The sequence below is a fragment of the Homo sapiens genome, chromosome 17 (genome assembly GCF_000001405.40).
Source record: "Homo sapiens chromosome 17, GRCh38.p14 Primary Assembly".
Classification (NCBI taxonomy): Eukaryota; Metazoa; Chordata; class Mammalia; order Primates; family Hominidae; genus Homo; species Homo sapiens.
The window spans coordinates 78,535,412-78,556,356 of NC_000017.11; the positions used below are offsets into that span (position 1 = coordinate 78,535,412).

The following is a 20,945-nucleotide window of genomic DNA, read 5'->3' on the forward strand; positions in this document are numbered from 1 at the left end:
TCCTTGACCTTCTCAGGTCATTAGCTGTTCCCTCGTGTCCTCATGTCACCTCTGTACAAGCATGCCTCCCCACCACACATGCAAATACGCACACGGGCACATATGCATCCAAGCACACGCGTACACACACGAGCACACGCACATCCCTCCCTCCTGGACAGGACAGCTCATCTCGCTGTAAATATATGTTATGACAAATCATACGTGTCCATTATTTTACAATTCAAACAACGCAGAAATGCATGAGAGGAAACGCCTGCAGCCACATCCCTCTCCCCTCCCCTCCTTCCTCCCTTCCTGGTAAGCACTCACCCAGATTTTTGCTTGTTTAAGCAAATGAAACCATATTCTAAACATTGTTCTGTAACTTGATAAATGTCTAATAACCTGTCACAACACCTTTCCATCCTTGGCTCATTGTGACAATTCACAGAATCTGGGTTTGGGCCAGAATTGGTCAAGCCACTCCCCTCTTCCACAAACATTTAGGTCACTTAAGTCTTTTCAGATTTTTTTTTATTGCTATACAAATAGGTGCTTTGACAAACACACCACCTCAAACCTCCCTTAAGCGGGGAGCTGAATTTCCCATGACTTTTGTTGTCCTTCCTACCCCAGAGCCTGGCCAGGCTCTCCGTGTGTCTTGTTTGATGCGTTTAGACGAGATGATTTCAGAAGGCAGTGGGAGGCACATTTGTCAAATTGCCTGAGTACTGGGAGAATCAGTGTTTACATTACAGGACTGAGGCCGGGCACGGTGGCTCACACCTGTAATCCCAGCACTTTGGGAGGCCAAGGCGGGTGGATCACAAGGTCGGGAGATTGAGACCATCCTGGCCAACATGGTGAAACCCCGTCTCTACTAAAAATATATAAAAAAAAAGAAAAATTAGCCAGGCATGGTGGCATGCACCTGTAGTCCCAGCTACTCAGGAGGCTGAGGCAGGAGAATCGCTTGAACCCAGGAGGCGGAGGTTGCAGTCAGCTGAGATTATGCTACTGCACTCCAGCCTGGGCAACAGAGCAAGACTCTGTCTCAAAAAATAAAAAAATTAAGAAGTTTAAGACCACTCTGGGCAACAACATGGCAAAACCCCATCTCTACAAAAAAATACATCACCAAGCTGGGCTTGGTGATGCATGCTCGTAATCCCAGCTACTTGGGAGACTGAGGCGGGAGGATCAATTGGGCCCGGGAGGCAGAGGCTGCAGTCAGCCGAGATTGAACCACTGCACTCCAGCCTGGGTGACAGAGTGAGACCTTGTCTCAAAAAAATTACAGGACTGAGTGAACAGTCAGGAAGTTGGGAAAGGTTACCCTCTTGGCATCGTGTCGGGGGGTTGGAAGGATGATGAGGGAATGAAACCCAGGCAGGTTGACTGAGAAGAAGCTGCTTTGGGAAGGACGACAGATGTGGGAGTGGGGAGAGAAGTGGCCATGTCATCCTAGAGGTCACACGATGTCATTTAAAAGGTAAGCAGGGCCGGGCGCGGTGGCTCACGCCTATAATCCCAGCACTTTGGGAGGCCGAGGCGGGTGGATCATGAGTTCAGGAGATCCAGACCATCCTGGCTAACACGGTTAAACCCAGTCTCTACTAAAAAAAAATAAAAAAATTAGCCGGGTGTGGTGGCGGGTGCCTGTAATCCCAGCTACTCGGGACGCTGAGGCAGGAGAATGGCTTGAACCCAGGAGGCGGAGGTTGCAGTGAGCCAAGATCGCGCCACTGCACTCCAGCCTGGGCGACAGAGTGAGATTCCGTCTCAAAAAAAAAAAAAGAAAAAAAGAAAAGGTAAACGGCGAAGCCTTGCCGAGTTAGGGCGGCAACACCAAATGGGGAAAGCAATGGATGACCCTGTGTACGGCCAGAAGAGGCCAGGACTGACCTTGTAGTTCATCCTGTCCTTGGCCAGCCGAGGGATGAGCCTGGCTACGTTGTAGATGTCGTTGACCAGGCCCTCGATCAGTGCCAGGAAGCCGCGATCTGAGCCCACCTCCAGGGTCGGGTTGAAGGTCAGCCCATCCTCGTCCAGCTCCATGCGGATCTCAAACAGGGGAGCGATACTCTCCTGAAAGAGGGGTGGGGTTGGCAGTGGTCAACACCTCTGTCCTCCATCGGATGATTCTCAGTGCCCTGATCATCCACTCCGTACCATCAATGTGTCACTGCCTTCCACTTATCTGGGAAGCTTCTGAGAGCTCGTGTCTCAGCGCACCCCGCTCCTTGAGCAATCGCTACAGAGCCAAATGTACAGCCACAAGGCCAAAAGCAGGCAGGGGCAGGTTGGGGCAAGGGGAGGGGCAGGATCAGGTAGAACTCAGACCTCGGTTCAAAGCCCACACCTGCTACTTGCCAGCTCTGAGGCCTTGGGGAGTCACTTAACTCCCAGTTTCCCCAAATATATAAAATGAGGCTAAATATTTTATAGAATGGAGACATTGTTGGCTAGGCGCAGTGGCTCATGCCTGTAATCCCAGCACTTTGGGAGGCCAAGGCGGGTGGATCACCTGAGGTCAGGAGTTTGAGACCAGCCTGGCCCACATGGCGAAGCCCCGTCTCTACTAAAAATACAAAATAATTAGCTGGGCCTGGTGGTGGGTGTCTGGAACCCCAGCTACTCGGGAGGCTGAGGCAGGAAATCGCTTGAACCCAAGAGGCGGAGGTTGCAATGAGCTGAGATTGTGCCATTGCACTCCAGCCTGGGCAAGAGCAAAACTCTGTCTCCAAAAAAAAAAAAAAAAAAAAAAAAAGAATGGAGACATTGTTTCCATTGTTCTGGGTTACTACAGGGGCTAAATGAATCACTGACACACAAAGCAGGTACTGCAGGGGCTGGCCAAGCCTGCCTGTCCCTCTCCCTTGGAAGTCCCCGTTTACAGAGTTCTGGAGGCCCCTGTGAGGCTGCAGGGCTGCAGGTGCTGCTCTGGTTTACAGTGATGGGATTGAGAACCCAAGTGCTCTTCCTGCCAAACTAACGATTCTCAAAATGTGGGCCAGGATCCACCAGGCTGTGAGATCACACTGTGGCCACTGATCTCCCCCTGAATGAGTCCCCATTGGACCTGTGGGTTATGAGCTTTTGAGCCCCCCAATTTGTCTATGAGCAGGAGGGGGCTGTATCAGTATCTGAGTGAGGTGCTAATTGGGACAAACGGTCAATTGTGTGACCAGACTTCTCTAAAGACTCAGGTCGGCTCCTGCCCCCAGGCTACTCACAAAGTAGGAGGACTCCCTGGAACTCTTTGAGGAGAACCCTTTGTTACTGGGACTTCTTTATGGTTTTTGTTGAGACGCTTTCACTGGGACAGTCTGTAGTGACGAGTACTTTCGTCAACTGAATTTTGGGTCTGTGACTGGTTACCAGCTGGCATCTGAGACCCATATGCCAGACTCAAACACCATCCACCCTCCCTGGTCGGTACAAGGGCACGACACTGCCACGTTCCTTTGTTGTTGGTAGCCTGGGGGAGCCTTTGATCTTGGCCTCCTGGCGGTACTCAAAATCATTTAGAAACCATCTCAACAAAAAAGATGCAGGGCTGGGCACAGTGGTTCACGCCTGTAATCCCAGCACTTTGGGAGGCCGAGGTTGGTCGATCATGAGGTCAGGAATTCAAGACCAGCCTGGCTAAGATGGTGAACCCTTGCCTCTACTAAAAATACAAAAATTAGCCAGGCGTGGTGGCGGGCACCTATAATCCCAGCTACTTGGGAGGCTGAGGTAGAGAACTGCTTGAACCCAGGAGGTGGAGTTTGCAGTGAGCTGAGATCATGCTACTGCACTCCAGCCTGGGCAACAGAGCGGGACTCTGTCTCAAAAAAATAAAAAAATAAAATAAAAAGAAGATACAGGTAGGAAAGGGGCCATTGCCATGGAAAGCATGCCTCCATGGGATTAACCAGCACAACCTCTTTGCTGACTGGTTTACCTTCTACTCAGCCGTATATAATCAAGTAGGTGAGTGGCTGTTGTTGCTGACAGGAGACCCTCCCCCCAATCCACATGAGTAGGGGGCAGTGGTGTCCACTTTCCTTCACCTGGCAGTGAGGCAGGACCAGCCTCTTAGGTCTCTTGAGGTTTTCTGCAGCCAATTTATGTTATGGCAGATTTAAAGTGACCAGTGGTCCTGAGTGCCTGGGACTGAGGGGATTCTGGAATGCAGGACTTCCAGGTTTAAAACCAGGTCAAGTAGATTGCATAAGATATATTTTAATAAGTCTATTTATAAAATGATAGCCTGTTCATCAAGAAACTAGAAACTATAGATTCTAACAGATAAGAATACATATACATAAATATATTACCTTATGTTGATAACTTACATCTATAACCATGTTGTCCATTAGGAAACTCAGAGATTTGCGAATGAACTGGTCAAATTCATCTAAGACCATGTCGTCAATGTAGATGACATAATCCTTCCAGGGCAGGCTCAGTGTGTCTGCCCTGAATAGTTCTGCGTTTTCCTGCAAACAGAAGCGCACAGTTGGGCCTCACTTCACTGGCTGTGCTTGCTCTTTGATCACACTGTTTAGTGCCTCTCTGGACCGCCCGTCCATGTTCACACGCCGGACACACGGGGCTGCTTTGAGCATCTTGCTGGTGCTGGCCGCCTTCCTACTCGAGGCTTTGCACGGCTGCTCCCTCACTTTCTTGCTGGGTCTGGCTTCCAATCTTTTTGATTTCAGCTCAAATGTCCCTTCCTCCCAAAGGAATCCTCCATCTCTAGTTGGGTTTCCTCTAGCAAACTGTTATTTATGCCTACCATGGCTCAGAGGGCCACTCAGAATTATTTTATTTGTCTTTGTCTTTGGTCTGCATGCCCTTTTGATGCCCAAATTCATGAAGGTGAAGGTTGACCATCCTCTCCACCACTGTACCCCCAGCACTCAGCAGTAGGCCTAGCACAGAGCAGGGGCTGGTGGGTGGGTGGGGTGGGTGGATGGACAGATGAATGGGGTGGACGGATAGCTGGATGGATGGATGGGGTTGGTAGATGGGTGAGTGGGTGGATGGATGGATGGATGGATGGATGGGTGGGTGGGTGGGTGGGTATGTGGATGTGTGAGTGGGTGGGTGGATGGGTGGGTGGGTGACTGGGTGGGTGGGTGAGTGGATGGGTGGATGGGTGGGTGGGTGGCCGAGTGGATGGATGGGTACGTGGCTGGATAAGTGGGGTGGGTGAATGAATAGATGAATAGAGTGGGTAGGTGTGTGAGTCCATGGATGGATGAACGGGGTGGGTAGATGTATGAGTAGATGGACAGATGGATGGGTGGATGGGTGGAGAGATGAATGGGGTGGGCAGATGTGTGAGTAGATGGGTGAGTGGGTGGGTGGGTGGGGTGAGTGGATGGGTGGGTGGGGTGGGTGGATGGGTGGGTGGGGTGGGTGGATGAGTGGACAGATGAATGGGGTGGGTAGATGTGTAAGTAGGTGGATGGGTGGGTGGATGGGTGGGTGGATGGGTGGATGGATGGGTGGGTGGGTGGGTGGGTGGGTGGATGGGTGGGTGGGTGGGTGGGTGGGTGGATCGGTGGATGAGTGGATGGGTGGATGGGTGGGTGGCGTGGGTGGGTGAGCGGATGGGTGGGTGAGCAGATGGGTGGGTGGCGTGGGTGGGTGAGCGGATGGGTGGGTGGCGTGGGTGGGTGAGCGGATGGGTGGGTGAGCGGATGGGTGGGTGAGCGGGGTGGGGGGGTGAGCGGGGTGGGGGGGTGAGCGGGGTGGGGGGGTGAGCGGGGTGGGGGGATGAGCAGATGGGTGGGTGAGCGGGGTGGGGGGGTGAGCGGATGGGTGGGTGGGGGGGTGAGCGGATGGGTGGGTGGGGGGGTGAGCAGATGGGTGGGGGGGTGGGGGGTAAGCAAGCAGATGGGTGGGTGGGGTGGGTGGGTGAGTGAGTGGATGGGTGGGTAGGGTGGGTGGATGAGTGGACAGATGAATGTGGTGGGTAGATGTGTAAGTGGATGGATGGATGGATGGATGGGTGGATGGTTGGATGGATGGATGAATCTCTAGGATACTAAGTGCTATAGGGAAACTCAAAGATTAATTTCACTCAGTCTATACCCTCAGGCAGGTCTATTCTAATAAGGGAGAGAAGACTTGGGCTCAAATAACTTCAGCATAAGATAAAAAGAAATGGCTCTAATGACTGTCATGAGAGTAGCCATACGTGGTGACAGAGTTGTGCACAAGAGACAACACCATCTCATCACAGTTGGGGAACAGAATAGGCTGGCTTGTTGCCTCTGCCCCTCTTAGGCTCCTGTCCCTGCTGCTTGGCTTCAACCTCAGCCCAGTCCTGCCTCCTCGCCTGCCCTCTTGCTATGCTCCTGCCCTCTGAAACTTTACTAACCCTAAGTCAAATCTCTCTCCTGTGCTCTGTTTCCAACCCTTCTGAGAGTGTTAACAAGCTAATCAGTTAACTCTTCCAAGTAACATTTTTGCAGTTTAGCATTTTAATTCAGAGGGAGCTACTGGCACCGTGGCAGGGAGGGGAGGGATGGGAACTGGGAATGAGGCACAACAGACTCTGGTTCAGTCAAGTCACTTCCTGGGGTGACGATCTTTAGAGCAATGATGTGACAATAGGAACAGCCAATAATGGCCCATCCCCCGGGTGTGGCCTGCTGGTCTGTCTAGATGATGTGACTCATCATTAAAGTCCACACCACTGATTTGCACCACCCACTGGAAACCGCCCCCCCCAAAAACTGCCCTAAAATACTTTTTTTTTTTTTTTTTTCTGAGGTGGAGTCTCACTCTTGTCGCCCAGGCTGGAATGCAGTGGTGCAATCTTGGTTCACTGCAACCTCCGCCTCCCAGGTTCAAGCAATTCTCCTGCCTCAGCCTCCCAAGTAGCTAGGATTACAGGTTCCTACCACTATACCTGGCTAATTTTTGTATTTTTAGTAGAGACAGGGTTTCACCATGTTGGCCAGGCTGGTCTCAAACTCCTGACGTCAAGTGATCCACCCACCTCGGCCTCCCAAAGTGCTGGGACTACCAGCGTGAGCCACTACGCCCAGCCGTTATTTGAGCTCAAGGGAGAATATTCTCTTTTACAAGCCAATGCAAAGCTCCACCTTTCACATTCTCCTCAGAGACAAACTAAAATGCAAGCTGGGTGAAATTACTACCAAGTGAGGAGGATATGAAAACCCCTACAATACAATGTCAGGACTCCAGACAAAGCACCCAGGAATGCCAGTCTACTGTTCTGCATTCTCCCACTGAATGTGCCAACCATGGGGGCTCCCAGGAGGCTGGTAGGGACATAGAGTCATATGCTGTTGGGACTACTGGCAAGAAGGACCAGCTGGCATCCTAGGTAGCAAAGCAGGCGTGCATTATCACATTCTACCCATTCACATATGCAGGTAGTGATACACCCTGTGCACGTTCAAATGGTCCTCGCTCTTCCCATGTTACTGTTCCCTACCCACACTCATGGATGGGAAATCCACGGGGGATACCGATAAACACACGGTGCCCACCCTCGGCAGCTCATCCTGGGAAGACAAGATTTGTTGACCTAGTATGAAGACGTTACTTGGCCATACCCACATTGTGCTGGGCGAGGGCTCTGGTACCCTTAGCAGAGGGCAGGCCCATCATAAGAGGAACCAGGCTTGGAAGTGTACAGCAAGGGTGGTCTACTACTTAAAGATAAGGCTCGCTTGGATTAAAGATCATAGGTTTTGTTTTGTTTTGTTTTGAGATAGTCTCACTCTTTCACCCAGGCTGGGGTGCAGTGGTGCGATCTTGGTTCACTGCCACCTCCGCCTCCCAGGGTCAAGCGATTCTCCTGCCTCAGCCTCCCGAGTAGCTGGGATTACAGGCATGTGCCAACGTGCCCGGTTAATTTTTGTTTTTTTTTTTTTTGAGACGGAGTCTCGCTCTGTCGCCCAAGCCGGACTGCGGATTGCAGTGGCGCAATCTTGGCTCACTGCAAGCTCCGCTTCCCGGGTTCACGCCATTCTCCTGCCTCAGCCTCCCAAGTAGCTGGGACTACAAGCGCCCGCCACCGCGCCCGGCTAATTTTTTGTATTTTTAGTAGAGACGGGGTTTCACCTTGTTAGCCAGGATGGTCTCGATCTCCTGACCTCATGATCCACCCGCCTCGGCCTCCCAAAGTGCTGGGATTACAGGCGTGAGCCACCGCGCCCGGCCAATTTTTGTATTTTTAGTAAAGGCAGGGTTTCACCACGTTGGTCAAGCTGGTCTCGATCTCCTGACATTAGGTGATCCGCCCGACTCAGCCTCCCAGAGTGCTGGGATTACAGGTGAGAGCCACTGCATCCAGCCAGGTCACAGACTTCTATGACTACAAGAAATGTGTCACTAATCATTTTTATGAAATCTCCAGCCCTGGGTTTACTCTCTCCTCCCTGCTAAAAGCAAGTGGGTTCTCAAAAAACCTCCTGGGTGTTTCCTTACTGCAACCATGGCTTGGATCTTCACTCCAGCATCCCTGACTGCTGCGTAGCGCTTGTTGAGGTTGGCAATTCTTCCATCCAAGTCTAACAGGGCCTCTTTCTTATTGTCCTTTCTTTCAAACAGCGGGTTGGCCGACCAGTCCTGGAAGGAAAGCACAGGAGTGAGAAAAGGTGTTCTGGAGAAACTGCTTTCAGTCGCAGTCCTTTGCTGTGTGCTTTTGATGTGAGTTTCGTCACTGCTGCCTGATCTTGGATTGGAGTCTAGTTCTCCACGATCCATGCCCATCAGGGGCTACTAAGGACCTGTGCCTAATTGACTGTTGACCAGAGAACCTTAAATAATTTAGCTCAAAACCAAAACCAGGGCCTAGGGGAACCACAGAAAGACCATTGAGATGTTTCACTCAACTGGGCCAGAATGGGGTCACTCTCAGGAAAGGAGCATCTAATTCTCTCTTTAGGGGGACGGAAGGACCCGAGCGTCGAGGAGTGTGTGGTCAATACTGGGTGGATCGTCCATAGCTGCAAACGGAGGGCCACGTGGGAGTAAGTCCCTTTTGTGGGGGCCACTGATCTGCCGACAAGGGTGGGAAAGGGTAGAGAGTAGGGTCAGGACCCTGGCTCCCCTGCAAGTGGGAGTTCTACCACAAGGGTGGTGGCCACTTGGCCGGGCGCGGTGGCCCATGCCTGTAATCCCAGCACTTTGGGAGGCTGAGGCAGGCGGATCACGAGGTCAGGAGATCGAGACCATCCTGGCTAACACGGTGAAACCCTGTCTCTACTAAAAATACAAAAAATTAGCCGCGCATGGTGGCGGGCACCTGTAGTCCCAGCTACCAGGAGGCTGAGGCAGGAGAATGGCGTGAACCCGGGAGGCAGAGCTTGCAGTGAGCCGAGATCACGCCACTCCACTCCAGCCTGGGGCACAGAGCGAGACTCAGTCTCAAAAAAAAAAAAAAAAAAAAAAAAGGTGGGGGTGGTGGCCACTTTTAATTATGATTTGGACTTTACTGTTATCTGTCATTAGATTTTTTTTCCCTACACATCTCCATTAAAGTGATACATATATGGTAACAAAACACCTAATAAGTTTTTTTTGTCAAAAAACAGTCTTTGGCCATATCTCCCTATCCTCCATCCCATCCCCCACTGGAAACATGAGGGAACCTCACCTTTCCTCCTCCTCACGGCTGCCTCTGTCACTCTTATCATTTACGGACTCTACATCATCAATTCAGCTGTTTCTCAGCTGCCTCTGTGACTCTGGGGTGAACGATGAAGACTTAGATCACCCGCCTCCCTCCTCTGGCCAGTGTTTGATATTTACGTGAGTACTTATAGTTTTTCTACTGATGCTTTTGTGTGAACATAAACGATATGATTAAGCCTGTGTTTACCTTGTTAGAAGGATTTCCTTTTTTTATTAGCAGTTTTATTGCTTCATGGTCAGAAAAACGCGTTCTGTATATGTCTTAGTCAGCTTAGATTACTATAAGCAAAATACCATATACTAGGGGGCTTAAGCAACAGACATTTCTCACAGGTTTAGAGGTTAGAAATCTGAGATCAAGGTGCCGGCATGTTTGGTTCCAGGTGAGGGCTCTCTTCCTGGTGGGCAGATGATGATGGCCGCCTTCTTGTTGTGACCTCACATGGCGGAGGGGCAGAGTGAGCTCTCTCATGTCTGTTGCTATAAGGGCACGAATCTCCTTCGTGATGGCTCTATTCTCATGTTCTGATTGCCTCCCCAGGGCCACGTCTCCAAGACCCATCACAGCAGGGATCACGGCTTCCACAAAGGAGTGTTTGAGAGTCACAAACGTACAGTCCATGGCAGTATAATAATGCTGTGTTAGCCTTCCCATTACATTTGCGTTCTGCCCATTTTTCAACTCTTCTAATAGCTTTTGCTTTTATTTATATAGCTATATTAACAATATTCTCATTGGGAACACAACATTTTAGGACAACTATAATTTTTATATAGATTTTACTTGATTTTGTATGGTTAGCTAAATATATATTTTTGCCTCTAGTTGTTCTTTGCTGATTAATATTTTATGTGTATGTATGTATGCAAGGATGTATATATGTCTGTGAATAAGACTACCATTTGAAATTTTTTTTTTTTTCCTTTGAAACAGGGTCGTGCTTTGTCACTCAGGCTGGAGGGCAGTGGCACAATCTCAGGTCACTGCAGCCTCGACCTCCCAGGCTCAAAAGTGATCCTCCCACGTCAGCCTCCAGAATAGCTGGGACCACAGGTGTTGTCCAGCCTGAGCAACATAGGAAGGCCCTAGGCTCAAGCAATACTCCTGCTTGGGCTTCCCAAAGTGTTTGGACTACAGGCATGAGCCATTGAGCTCGGCTGTGAGAACTGCCATCTTTTAAAGGTCAAAAATGGTCAATTATTGGAAGTTTCATATGGTTTCACCTACTTGTCAATCATTTTATCTTCAACCTTTCCATTTTGTTTTAGATATCTCTTGGAAGTAGCATATAACTACATTTTTAAACAATCTATTTTGCTTTTAAATACTTTATATATACTGTAACTAATGTTTGCCCTTTGTTATCACGTTTTATCCTTTCTGCTTTCTCACCGTTTCCCTTTGTTGTGGTATTTTGCTTTAAAAACTATAGCTTATTTGCTTTTATATTCTTTACTGATTTGGATAGGAGAAATCCTGTTTCTAATTCCACTAGAACTTGCCATTAAGTTTATTAAGTCTTTTAAATGTTTCTCTAATTTTGGAAATAAAAATTGCAGCTGGGCATGGTGATTCATGCCCGTAATCTCAGAACTTTGGCAGGCCAAGGCTGATGGATCACCTGAGGCCAGGAATTTGAGACCTGCCTGAACAACATGGTGAAACCCCATCTCTACTAAAAATACAAAAATTTACCAGGCATGGTGGCCCATGCCTGTAATCCCAGCTATTTGGGAGGCTGAAGCAGGAGAATCGCTTGAACCCAGAGGCGGAGGTTGCAGCAAGCCGAGATTGTGCCATTGTACTCCAGCCTGGGTGACAGAGTAAGACTCCATCTCAAGAAAGAAAAAAAAAAATTGCTTTTGATTCTCATTATCCACGTTTAGGAATTCAGGATATGGTTAACTTCCCTGCCCCAACTTTTTTCCTCCTCCTAACTACCAATTATCAATCATGTTTATCACCATGGATATGGTTTCTACCATTTATATTTTTCTACAAGTATTGCTTTTGACTTTGGAATGTAACCTTTTACAACCGTATTTATCTCTTTATATACTTACCTCTTTATATTTAATTGGTTCCAAGCTCATTGCTAGTCTTTTTAAATGTTAATGCTCTCCTTGGTACTCTAGAATGTGGTTGACCTCTTGGTATCCTGGAATACATCCTGGAATAGGTTTCTCAGGAAGGGTATCCAAATGGTATTTTTCCAAGCCCCTGCATGTGTGAGGATGACTTTACTGCTGCATTCACAGATAATTGTCAGGAGTCTTTCTCAAGACTGGCCATTTTTATCATGTTCTGGAGATCTGTGTAAAGTCAAAAGGCTGCCTGATTTTTGTTTCTGTGTGGGCTACCTGCTTGGTAGAAACATGCAGAATATTGTTCTGTATCCTTGGGATTGTAAACTTTGGTCAGAATATGTCTACATGTGTCATCTGGCCTGGAAATCAGTTACCCACTTTGACCACCACACTCAGGCCTTCCTTTAATTTTTGTCTCCCCAGCTTGAGAAAATTTTCTTCTATTACATCTTTGTTCATTACTATTTTTTTTTTTTTTTTTTGAGATGGAGTCTCACTCTGTCTCCCAGGCTGGAGTGCAGTGGTGTGACCTCAGCTCACTGCAACCTCCACCTCCCAGGTTCAAGCAATTCTCCTGCCTCAGCCTCTCTAGTAGCTGGGATCATAGGTGTGTGCCACCACACCTGGCTCCTTTTTGTATTTTTAGTAGAGACAGGGTTTCGCCATGTGGGCCAGGCTGGTCTTGAACTCCTGACCTCAAGTGATCGGCCTGCCTTGGCCTCCCAAAGTGCTGGGATTACAGGTGTGAGCCACCATGCCCAGCCTATTACTTCTTTAGTAACAACTATGATTTTTATGTTGTTCGTCTCCCTCATCTTACACATTATCTATTGTTATTTCCCTTTGCATATTAGCAATTTCCTAAAATTGTCCTCCGTTTAATATATCCACTGTTACACAGCACTAGTTCTAGTCTAACTGGTGCTTCAGTATATTTTAATTCTGCTTTTGCAGTTTTGACTTTCTTAGCCATGTCCTTTCCCTTCTCTGCTTTCCTCTCATTCTGTTCTTAGTTCTCATTCTGTTGTTATTTCGTAGATGTCATGGCCTTTTTTTTTTTTTTTTTTTGGAGACAGAGTCTTGCTCTGTCACCCAGGCTGGAGTGCAGTGGCACGATCTCGGCTCACTGCAAGCTCCGCCTCCTGGGTTCACAACATTCTCCTGCCTCAGCCTCCCAAGTAGCTGGAACTACAGGCGCCCGCCACTACACCTGGCTAATTTTTTGTATTTTTAGTAGAGACGGAGTTTCACCGTGTTAGCCAGGATGGTCTCGATCTCCTGACCTCGTGATCCACCCGCCTCGGCCTCCCAAAGTGCTGGGATTACACGCATGAGCCACTGCACCCGGCCACGGCCTTTTTAATTTAAGAAAAAATGTCTTAGGTTTACTAAATAAAGAGCTTCAGTCGGTCTGTGTTTTTCTGAGATATCTAAACGACTTGTTACTCTCAAATGCTGCACAATCTTTGAACAGCCTCCTTTTGGTCCTAACCCCTTTGCTGTTCACACCTGAGGGCTAAGGGCACAGCCTGAGAATGTACAAACTCCAAACAGGAATTGTTGATTCCAGGCCTGATGGACTGAGTTTGAGCCATTTTCTTTTCCTATTGCTTGGTTTTCTCACTAAGCTGGGGAGCTAGATGCTGCTGGCTGTCATGTCTGTTTTTGCTAGTTTTGAGACGGCATCTGAGGGCATGTGCCTGGGAGCCAGTGTTCTCCCCGGCTCTGCTTCCGCACCTAAGTGCAGAGCATGCTGGTCCCCTCCACCAAGCCCCTTGGCTTTCAGCCTGGTCACTGTGCAGCTGCTGCAGCTTCAGAATGGACGTGATGAGGAAAGTGATGGGGATGGAGACACAGGAGGTCAGCTGATTCTGTGACCAGTTTAGTGATTATTCTCCTTATAATGGGGGTTAGCAGAGCCCCTATTGGGTGAGTGTTATGAACTGCACGTCTGTGTTCTCTCATCTCCCAAAATTCACATATTCGAGTCCTAGCTCCTGTGTGGTTGTAATAGGAGGCAGGGACCTTGGCAAGTGCTTGGGTTTAGATGAGATAATGAGATCATGAGAGTAGGGCCCACCCCTGATGAGGTTAGTGTCCTTTAAGCAGAGAAAGAGACACCAGAGCAACCTCTCTCTACTACGTGAGGCACATCGAGAAGGCAGCCGTCTGCACACCAGGAAGAGGGCCCTCACCAGGAACTCAGTCTGCAGTATTTTCTTGTAGCCTCCTGAAATGACCAGGACAGTGGGCCCAAGTGTTTGCCTTCCCTCCTCGGAGGTCACCTTTGCTTTTCTGATGCAGAGGTGAACTTCTTCAAAACTCACCCCTGAACCCAACAACCTCAGAATTGGCAAACAGATCATTCCTTCCTTGGTGCCCAGAGACCCAACTACCGGGCTTCAGCATCTCAGCTCAGCACCAGGAGAAAGCAAATACTTTGTGGTTTAGTTAAAAACTTCTGGTGCAAACAAGCTAGCTCAGGTAAAGGGGGGTTTATGTAAGACAGTGGGTCTCAGAGACAGAGAGAAAGTGCTGCCCTGGTCCTCTGTAGCGGGTGGTGGGCAGTGGTCAAGCTGGGGCCTCAGGGGCAGCAGGAATCTCTGCAGGATCTGCCTCCAGAGTGGGCCTCCTCCCGTCTCCTGCTCGCTCCCCACCGCCCAGAGCCTGCAGCCAACCCTCTGAGACCCTGCACCTGCTGCGGCCCCTGCTGAAGATTCAGAAGCCCGTGGGGTTTGAACGGCCTGGTTTCTGGATTTAACAGTTCAGTAGAGGAGAGAGAGAGAACAGCCACAGAGGAGGCTGGGTGAGCATTGCAGGTAACAGAAAGGACAGAGACCCCTTGGCATGAAACAAAGTGAAGAGATCGAGAAGCCACACGTGCAGAGACAGACAAGAGACCTGGCCCCCAGACCTGAGACACTGGGGAAATGGCCTGTGTGCCAGAGCAGACAGGGAGGTGTGGGGAGGCGTGGGGAGGAGGAGGAGCGACGTCATGCCCACTAGCTGGCGAGACAACGCCATCAACAGGCTAGAAGAATGTTACGACGTCCAGCGGACATTAACACAAGGAGGCACACGTCTGGACACTTTGGTGACATTTTCTGACCCTAAAGATAACGAAGAACTCTGCACGCCCCAGACAGAGAGGACAGGCTCATGCAGGAAGGAGGCAGAGCACTGCCAGCCTGCCCAGCACTGAAACTGAGGCAGGGCTGGTAGGGGCTGAACTGTGCCCCCCAAATCCGTGTGTAGGGGCCCTGACACCCATACCTCAGAATGCAATGGCATTTGGAGATGAGAGCTTTAAAGAGGTGCTTAAGTTAATATGAGGTCATTAGTGTGGGCCCTCATCCAGCATGACCAGTGTCCTTATGAGACAAGGAGATGAGGACACAGACACACAGAGGGAGGACCCTGTGAAGCCACAGGGAGAAGACAGCATCTATAACTAACCAGAGAGTCCTGGGGGAGCCAACCCTGCCGACACCTTAACCTTGGCCTTCCAGCCTCCAGAACTGTGAGAAGAGAAACGTCTGTTGTTGAAGTCGCCCAGACTGTGGCAGTTTGTGATGGCCGCCCTAGCAAACACACACAGGGCCGTTTCTGGAGCAGTGAAAGAAAAGGACCGTATCAAGAAACCCCTGACCTGGACAAGATCATTGTAGATGAGGTCAAAAGAAAGATATTTTGGACAAGGGAGGACTCAAAGTATGCTATCAATGAGCCCTTTCTGAGGAAATTGCGTGAGAAATTATTCCCGTCAATTGAAAATTGAATCAGAGCCAGATGCGGTGGCTCACGCCTGTAATCCCAGCACTTTGGGAAGCTGAGACAGGCGGATCATTTGAGGTCAGGAGTTCAAGACCAGCCTGGGCAACATGGTGAAACCTCATCTCCACTAAAAAAACAAAAACAAAAACAAAATTCCTTTTGGATATATTGCTGCAAGTGTTTTTGCACATTAGAGCATCAGTGACAGACCAGACCACCTAGAAGGCTAATGAAGGATTCCCCCAGTGCTCCGGAAGGAGCTTGAGTTAGAACTGTACTGCTTCTGTACTGAGCAACGGGCTCGTTCCCAGTGGGGGTGAGTCTTGGCAGATCTCTTTCCACCCCTTGCTACTGGCACTGGCCTGGCACAGAGGGGGCCTTGTGGAGCTCAGCAGAATGGAGCAGAACTGAATTTCACAGAGCAACTGGGCTCTTTCTGCCCTGGGACCACTCTGATATCATCCTACCGGTGGAGAGCACTGCACGGCAGCTCCCACTGCACCCCACACATCGCAGCACTTTCCATGGGCCTCTACGTAGCCTGGTTTGCCCCAGGGCAGCCCCAGGCCCCCACAAAGCCCCACTCTGTGCTCTGCCCCTTGCTTACCTTCATAGCCTGGGAAATTCCTTCTATATTTTGTTTTGCCTTTTGCATCCTGTTCTGCAAGTTGTGCAGAATTTCTCGCACCTCTTGAATGTACTGAAACACACCTAAAATGGAAATGTAGAGGAATCTTACAAAATGAACAATTCAGGCTGGGCGCGGTGGCTCAAGCTTGTAATCTCAGCCCTTTGGGAGGTCAGGGCAGGCGAATCACGAGGTCGGGAGTTCGAGACCAGCCTGGGCAACATGGTGAAACCCCATCTCTACTAAAAATACAAAAAATTAGCTGGGCATAGCAGTGGGCACCTGTAATCCCAGCTACTCGGGAGGCTGAGGCAGTAGAATAGCTTGAACCCGGGAGGCAGAGGTTGCAGTGAGCCGAGATTGTGCCATTGTACTCCAGCCCAGGCAACAGAGTGAGACTCTATCTCAGGAAAAAAAAAAAAAAAATTCAGCAGGATGAAAACTTTTCTTGGGTTGGCTTAACACTCATCACTATGAGACAGCCCTGGGAAAATACTCCTATTCTGGAACATGATTCCCAGAAGAAATCGCTGGGCGTTCTCTGAAATGAAATGCCAAGGAATCACAAATATAGTGTCCCTTTGGACATAGGGTTTGGAGAATGTGTGGACCCTTCACCCCACGTAGGAGCCCCAGACTCCTCACGTTAAAGGGTTCCACCTCTGGGAGCATCAGAGATGGGGCCAGGGGGTCGGGGGCCTTCTGCCTCGTCCAGTGGTGGAATGAAGGGAAGACAGGGACTCGTGACTACACTTCTTCCTACTTTGCTGACGTCTGCCCTGAGTTAGCCAAGATGTGCACCAGCTCTGCTCACCAGCTGTGCATGCTCTGTGCATGCTTGATAAACCAACAGTGGAAACTGGGCCTCCAGCAAGCCCAGTTTGGGAAACTTGGAAACCTCTTGGCAGTTCCCAGGGAGTCTTTGCCGGATTCCGTTTCTAAGTGACACAGATGGGCTTTTTTTTTTTTTTTTTGCCTGGGCAGGCAGGTGGAAGTAACTATCCTTTAGCCCCCTTGAAGTTAAAGCAGATCCACACAGCCAGGAGGCAGAAGTGACCACTCTAGTGGTGTTTGAGGACAGATGCTGGGCAGGTTGGACTCCCAAGTTTAATCCAATGTGGGAGGAATGTGGCCTCCGTACCTTCGCCATTCCAGAATAATGTCGTTTCAGCGCTCAATAACTTGACATCAATTGCTTCCAGTTCTGACTTTATTAGTAGAAATTCTACTGCCTTCACTATAGTCTTTATCTGAAAAACAGAGGTGACAGGTTTTGTTCCGAGTCCAACCAGATTTTAAATTGTTCTCTGGTAAGGACCTTTTATTCCTCAACACCAACTAATACGGTTTGGATCTGTGTCCCCACTCAGGTCTCATGTTGAATTGTAATCCCCAGTGTTGGAGGTGGGGCCTGGTGGGAGGTGACTGGATCATGGGGACAATGATCTCATGAATGGTGTAGCATCACCCCCCGATGCCGTTCTTGGGATAGTGAATGAATTCTCGTGCAATCTCCTTTTTAAACAGGTGTAGCACCTCCCCCACTTCTCTCTCGATCCTGGCTTGTGCCAAGTGATGTGCCTGCTTCCCCTTCACCTTCCACCATGATTCCAAGTTTCCTGAGGTCCCCCCAGAAACAGAAACCACTATGCTTCCTGTACAGCCTGCAGAGCCATGAGCTAATTAAACCTCTTTTCTTTATAAATTACCCAGTCCCAGGTTTTTGTGTTTTTTTTTTTTTTTTTTTTTTTTTTTTTTTTTTTTAAGATGGAGTCTCACTCTGTCACCCAGGCTGGAGTACAGTGGCGTGATCTTGGCTCACTGCAATCTCTGCCTCCCGGGTTCAAGCAATTCTCCTGCCTCAGCCTCCCCAGTAGCTGGGACTATAGGCATGCGCCACCATGCCCAGCTAATTTTTGTATTTTTAGTAGACGCAGGGTTTCACTATGTTGGCCAGGCTGGTCTTGAACTCCTGACCTCAAATGATCCACCCACCTTGGCCTCTCAAAGTCCCAGGTGTCAAGTATTTCTTTATAGCAATGTAACAGCCTAATACACCAACAAAGCCAATGATGATTGTTTTTTATTTGGAAATCGTATTTCAGGACACTCCACAATTTTTAGAATGACTTTTATCACTGAGGATTTATGTACGGTTACTGTTTTATGTTATAGTATTCCTATCTCTTTCTAGCCCATACCATGACTAATTAAGAATTAACTGTGTATAGGTTGGTGTAAAAGTAATTGCCATCTTTTCCGTTACTTTTAATACATAAATCCTCAGTATATAATCACAAAGGTTTGTACTTGATTTCTTTTTGTGATTCTAAGCCAAAGAAATACATGTGGATCACTGAGCATTTCTTGGCTCAGACCCTTTCCCTGGTCAATCTAAAGCTCAAAATCTTTTTTTTAATATAGAGATGGGATCTTGCTATGTTGCCCAGGCTGGTCTCAAACTCCTGAGCTCCAGCCATCTTCCCACTTCAGTCTCCCAAAGTGCTGGGATTACAGGTGTGAGTCATGGTGCCCAGCCTAAAGCCTGAAGTTCAGTTATACAACAGAAAACCCAGGATCTGCAGAGAAACTATTCAAGTTGTTAATGGATCAGTGTTAACAATAGTATAGTTTCTCACTTTGGGAGGCCGAGGCAGGCAGATCACTTAAGGTCAGGAGTTCAAGACCAGCCTGGCCAACATGGTGAAATCTTGTCTCTACTAAAAATACAAAAATTAGCCCGGTGTGGTGGTGTGCACCTGTAATCCCTACTTGGGAGGCCAAGGTGCGAGAATCGCTTGAACCCAGGAGGTGAAGGTTGCAGTGAGCCAAGATCGCACCACTGCACTCCAGCCTGGACAATAGAATGAGACTCTGTCTCAAAAAAAAAAAAAAAAAAAAAAAAAAAAAAAAAAAGGATAGGTTCTATATAGTTTTGTTCTAGTTTGCCCTACTCTAAGAAATTAATTTAATGCTTGAAATCCTGAATTTACAAAACAGAACAAACAAGGGAGAAGTTTTCATGATTCCCTTAAATAATAAGCACCATTTAGGCCTAGGAATCTCATCGTACCAAGCAACATCTTGTTTCATGACTTCTCTAGGACCCTTCTACATGAAGTATGGAATCACAGAGTTAAAAATACACACTAGATGCTGATTTGCCTTTCAGAATAATTCTTTACATACATTTTGGTACTTTATTTTTTGAGACGGAGTCTCGCTCTGCCACCCAGGCTGGAGTGCAGTGGCGTGATCTTGGCTCACTGCAACCTCCGCCTGCCAGGTTCAAGCGATTCTCCTGTCTCAGCTTCCTGAGTAGCTGGAACTACAGGCGCCCACCACCAAGCCCAGGTAATTTTTTTATTTTTTGTAGGGATAGGGTATTAGCACGTTGGCCAGGCTGGCCTCGAACTCCTGACCTCAAGTGATCCACCCACCTCGGCCTCCCAAAGTGCTGAGATTACAGGCATGAGCCACTGCGCCCAGCCCATTTTAGTGCTTTAAATAGTGTACTTCCACCCATGCCTTCGAATGTTTTCTGACCATTAACTCGTAGGATAGGTGCTTAGGAAAGAGAAATAGAGTATAAGAGCTGTTACCGGCTGAAAACCAGACAGAAGTAAAGGATGCATCTACAGGATTACAAAGCAAGACGATGTGTAGCAGGATTCCGTCCATCAGGGTTGGGTTGTTAAACAATGACAAGGACAGTGGTCTCTTCCCAGTCGAGGAACCCTGCTCTGAGACTACACCCTACGTGAGAGAATCTCAGAACACACCTCTTTAGTGTGCTCGTGACTAAATCATGGTGCTCCTACCATACCTGGAGTCCAAGGCGGGAGCTCTTTAGACAGAATCTAACCAGCTGGAGAAAGGTGCTGTGTTTCTAATGAATGGACCATGGACAAAGATATTACGGCCCCTGGTGATCAGAATCTGGGGAGCCCTGCCACGGCTGCCGGGGAGAGGAGCAAGATTCCGTCACAAAAAAAAAAAAAAAAAAAAAAAGAGGCAAGAAGGTCAAAAGAGAAGGCATCAGTGTGATGACGGAAGCACAAGTTGGAGTGATGTGCTTCGAACATGAAATAATGTGGCCGCGAGGGTTAATTTGTCAACAGGACTGTGCCACAGGGTGCCCAGATTAAACATGGTTTCTGAGGTGCGTGAGGTTGTTTCTGGATGAGATAAGCATTGGAATGGGTGGGCTCAGGAAAGCAGATAGCCCTCCCCAGTGTGGGTGGGTCTCATCCAACCGTTGAGGGCCTGAATAGCACAAAAGGCGGAGGAAGGAGGAATTCACCCCTTGTTTCTGCCTCATGGCCTGAGCTGGGCCATCTCATCATCTTCAGCCTTTGGACTGGGATTTACACCATCTGTTCCCCTAGTTGTCAGGCTTTGGACTCAGAGTAACACCACCTGCTTTCCTGAGTTTCCAACTTGCAGACAGCAGGCTGTAAGACTTCTTACCCTCTGTAATTGCGTGAGGCAATTCCTCACAATAAATCTCCATATATACATGTCTATATCTCTGTCTGTCCATCCATCTCCATCCATCCATCTGTATCTATCCCCCCCATCTATAGCTATCTATCCATTCATCCACCTATATAATCTATCCATCCATCTACCTGCTTTCCTATCTCTCTAGCTACCGATCTATCTATCCATCCATCCCTCCATCCTCCCATCTGTCTATCCCATTGGTTCTGTTTCTCTGGAGAACTCTAACTAATACAATGGCCATGAGCCCAGGAAGGTGCAGCCTCTAGACGCTGGAAAAGACAAGGAGACAGACCAT

The 20,945-nt window shown here is 48.7% G+C and overlaps 1 protein-coding gene and 1 long non-coding RNA gene across 6 annotated transcripts in view; one reads left to right on the forward strand and one right to left on the reverse strand.

The window, feature by feature from the left end:
* DNAH17 (dynein axonemal heavy chain 17) overlaps positions 1–20,945 on the reverse strand; it is a 153,700-nt gene that overhangs the window by 111,715 nt on the left and 21,040 nt on the right. For 4 of the 5 annotated variants that reach the window (NM_173628.4, XM_011525416.3, XM_047436981.1 and 1 more), the window contains exons 15-19: positions 17,286–17,394; positions 16,124–16,227; positions 8,446–8,586; positions 4,326–4,469; positions 1,888–2,070 (exon numbers count right to left, since the gene is read on the reverse strand). In NM_173628.4, the coding sequence (NP_775899.3) occupies positions 1,888–2,070; positions 4,326–4,469; positions 8,446–8,586; positions 16,124–16,227; positions 17,286–17,394 (681 nt within the window). The remainder of the gene's footprint in view (positions 1–1,887; positions 2,071–4,325; positions 4,470–8,445; positions 8,587–16,123; positions 16,228–17,285; positions 17,395–20,945) is intronic. The other variant, XM_024451013.2, reaches the window with a different exon arrangement.
* LOC124904065 (uncharacterized) lies at positions 7,047–9,763 on the forward strand. Its single transcript, XR_007065921.1, has 3 exons — positions 7,047–7,385; positions 8,569–8,667; positions 9,555–9,763. It is a non-coding gene; the product is annotated as an uncharacterized LOC124904065 (long non-coding RNA).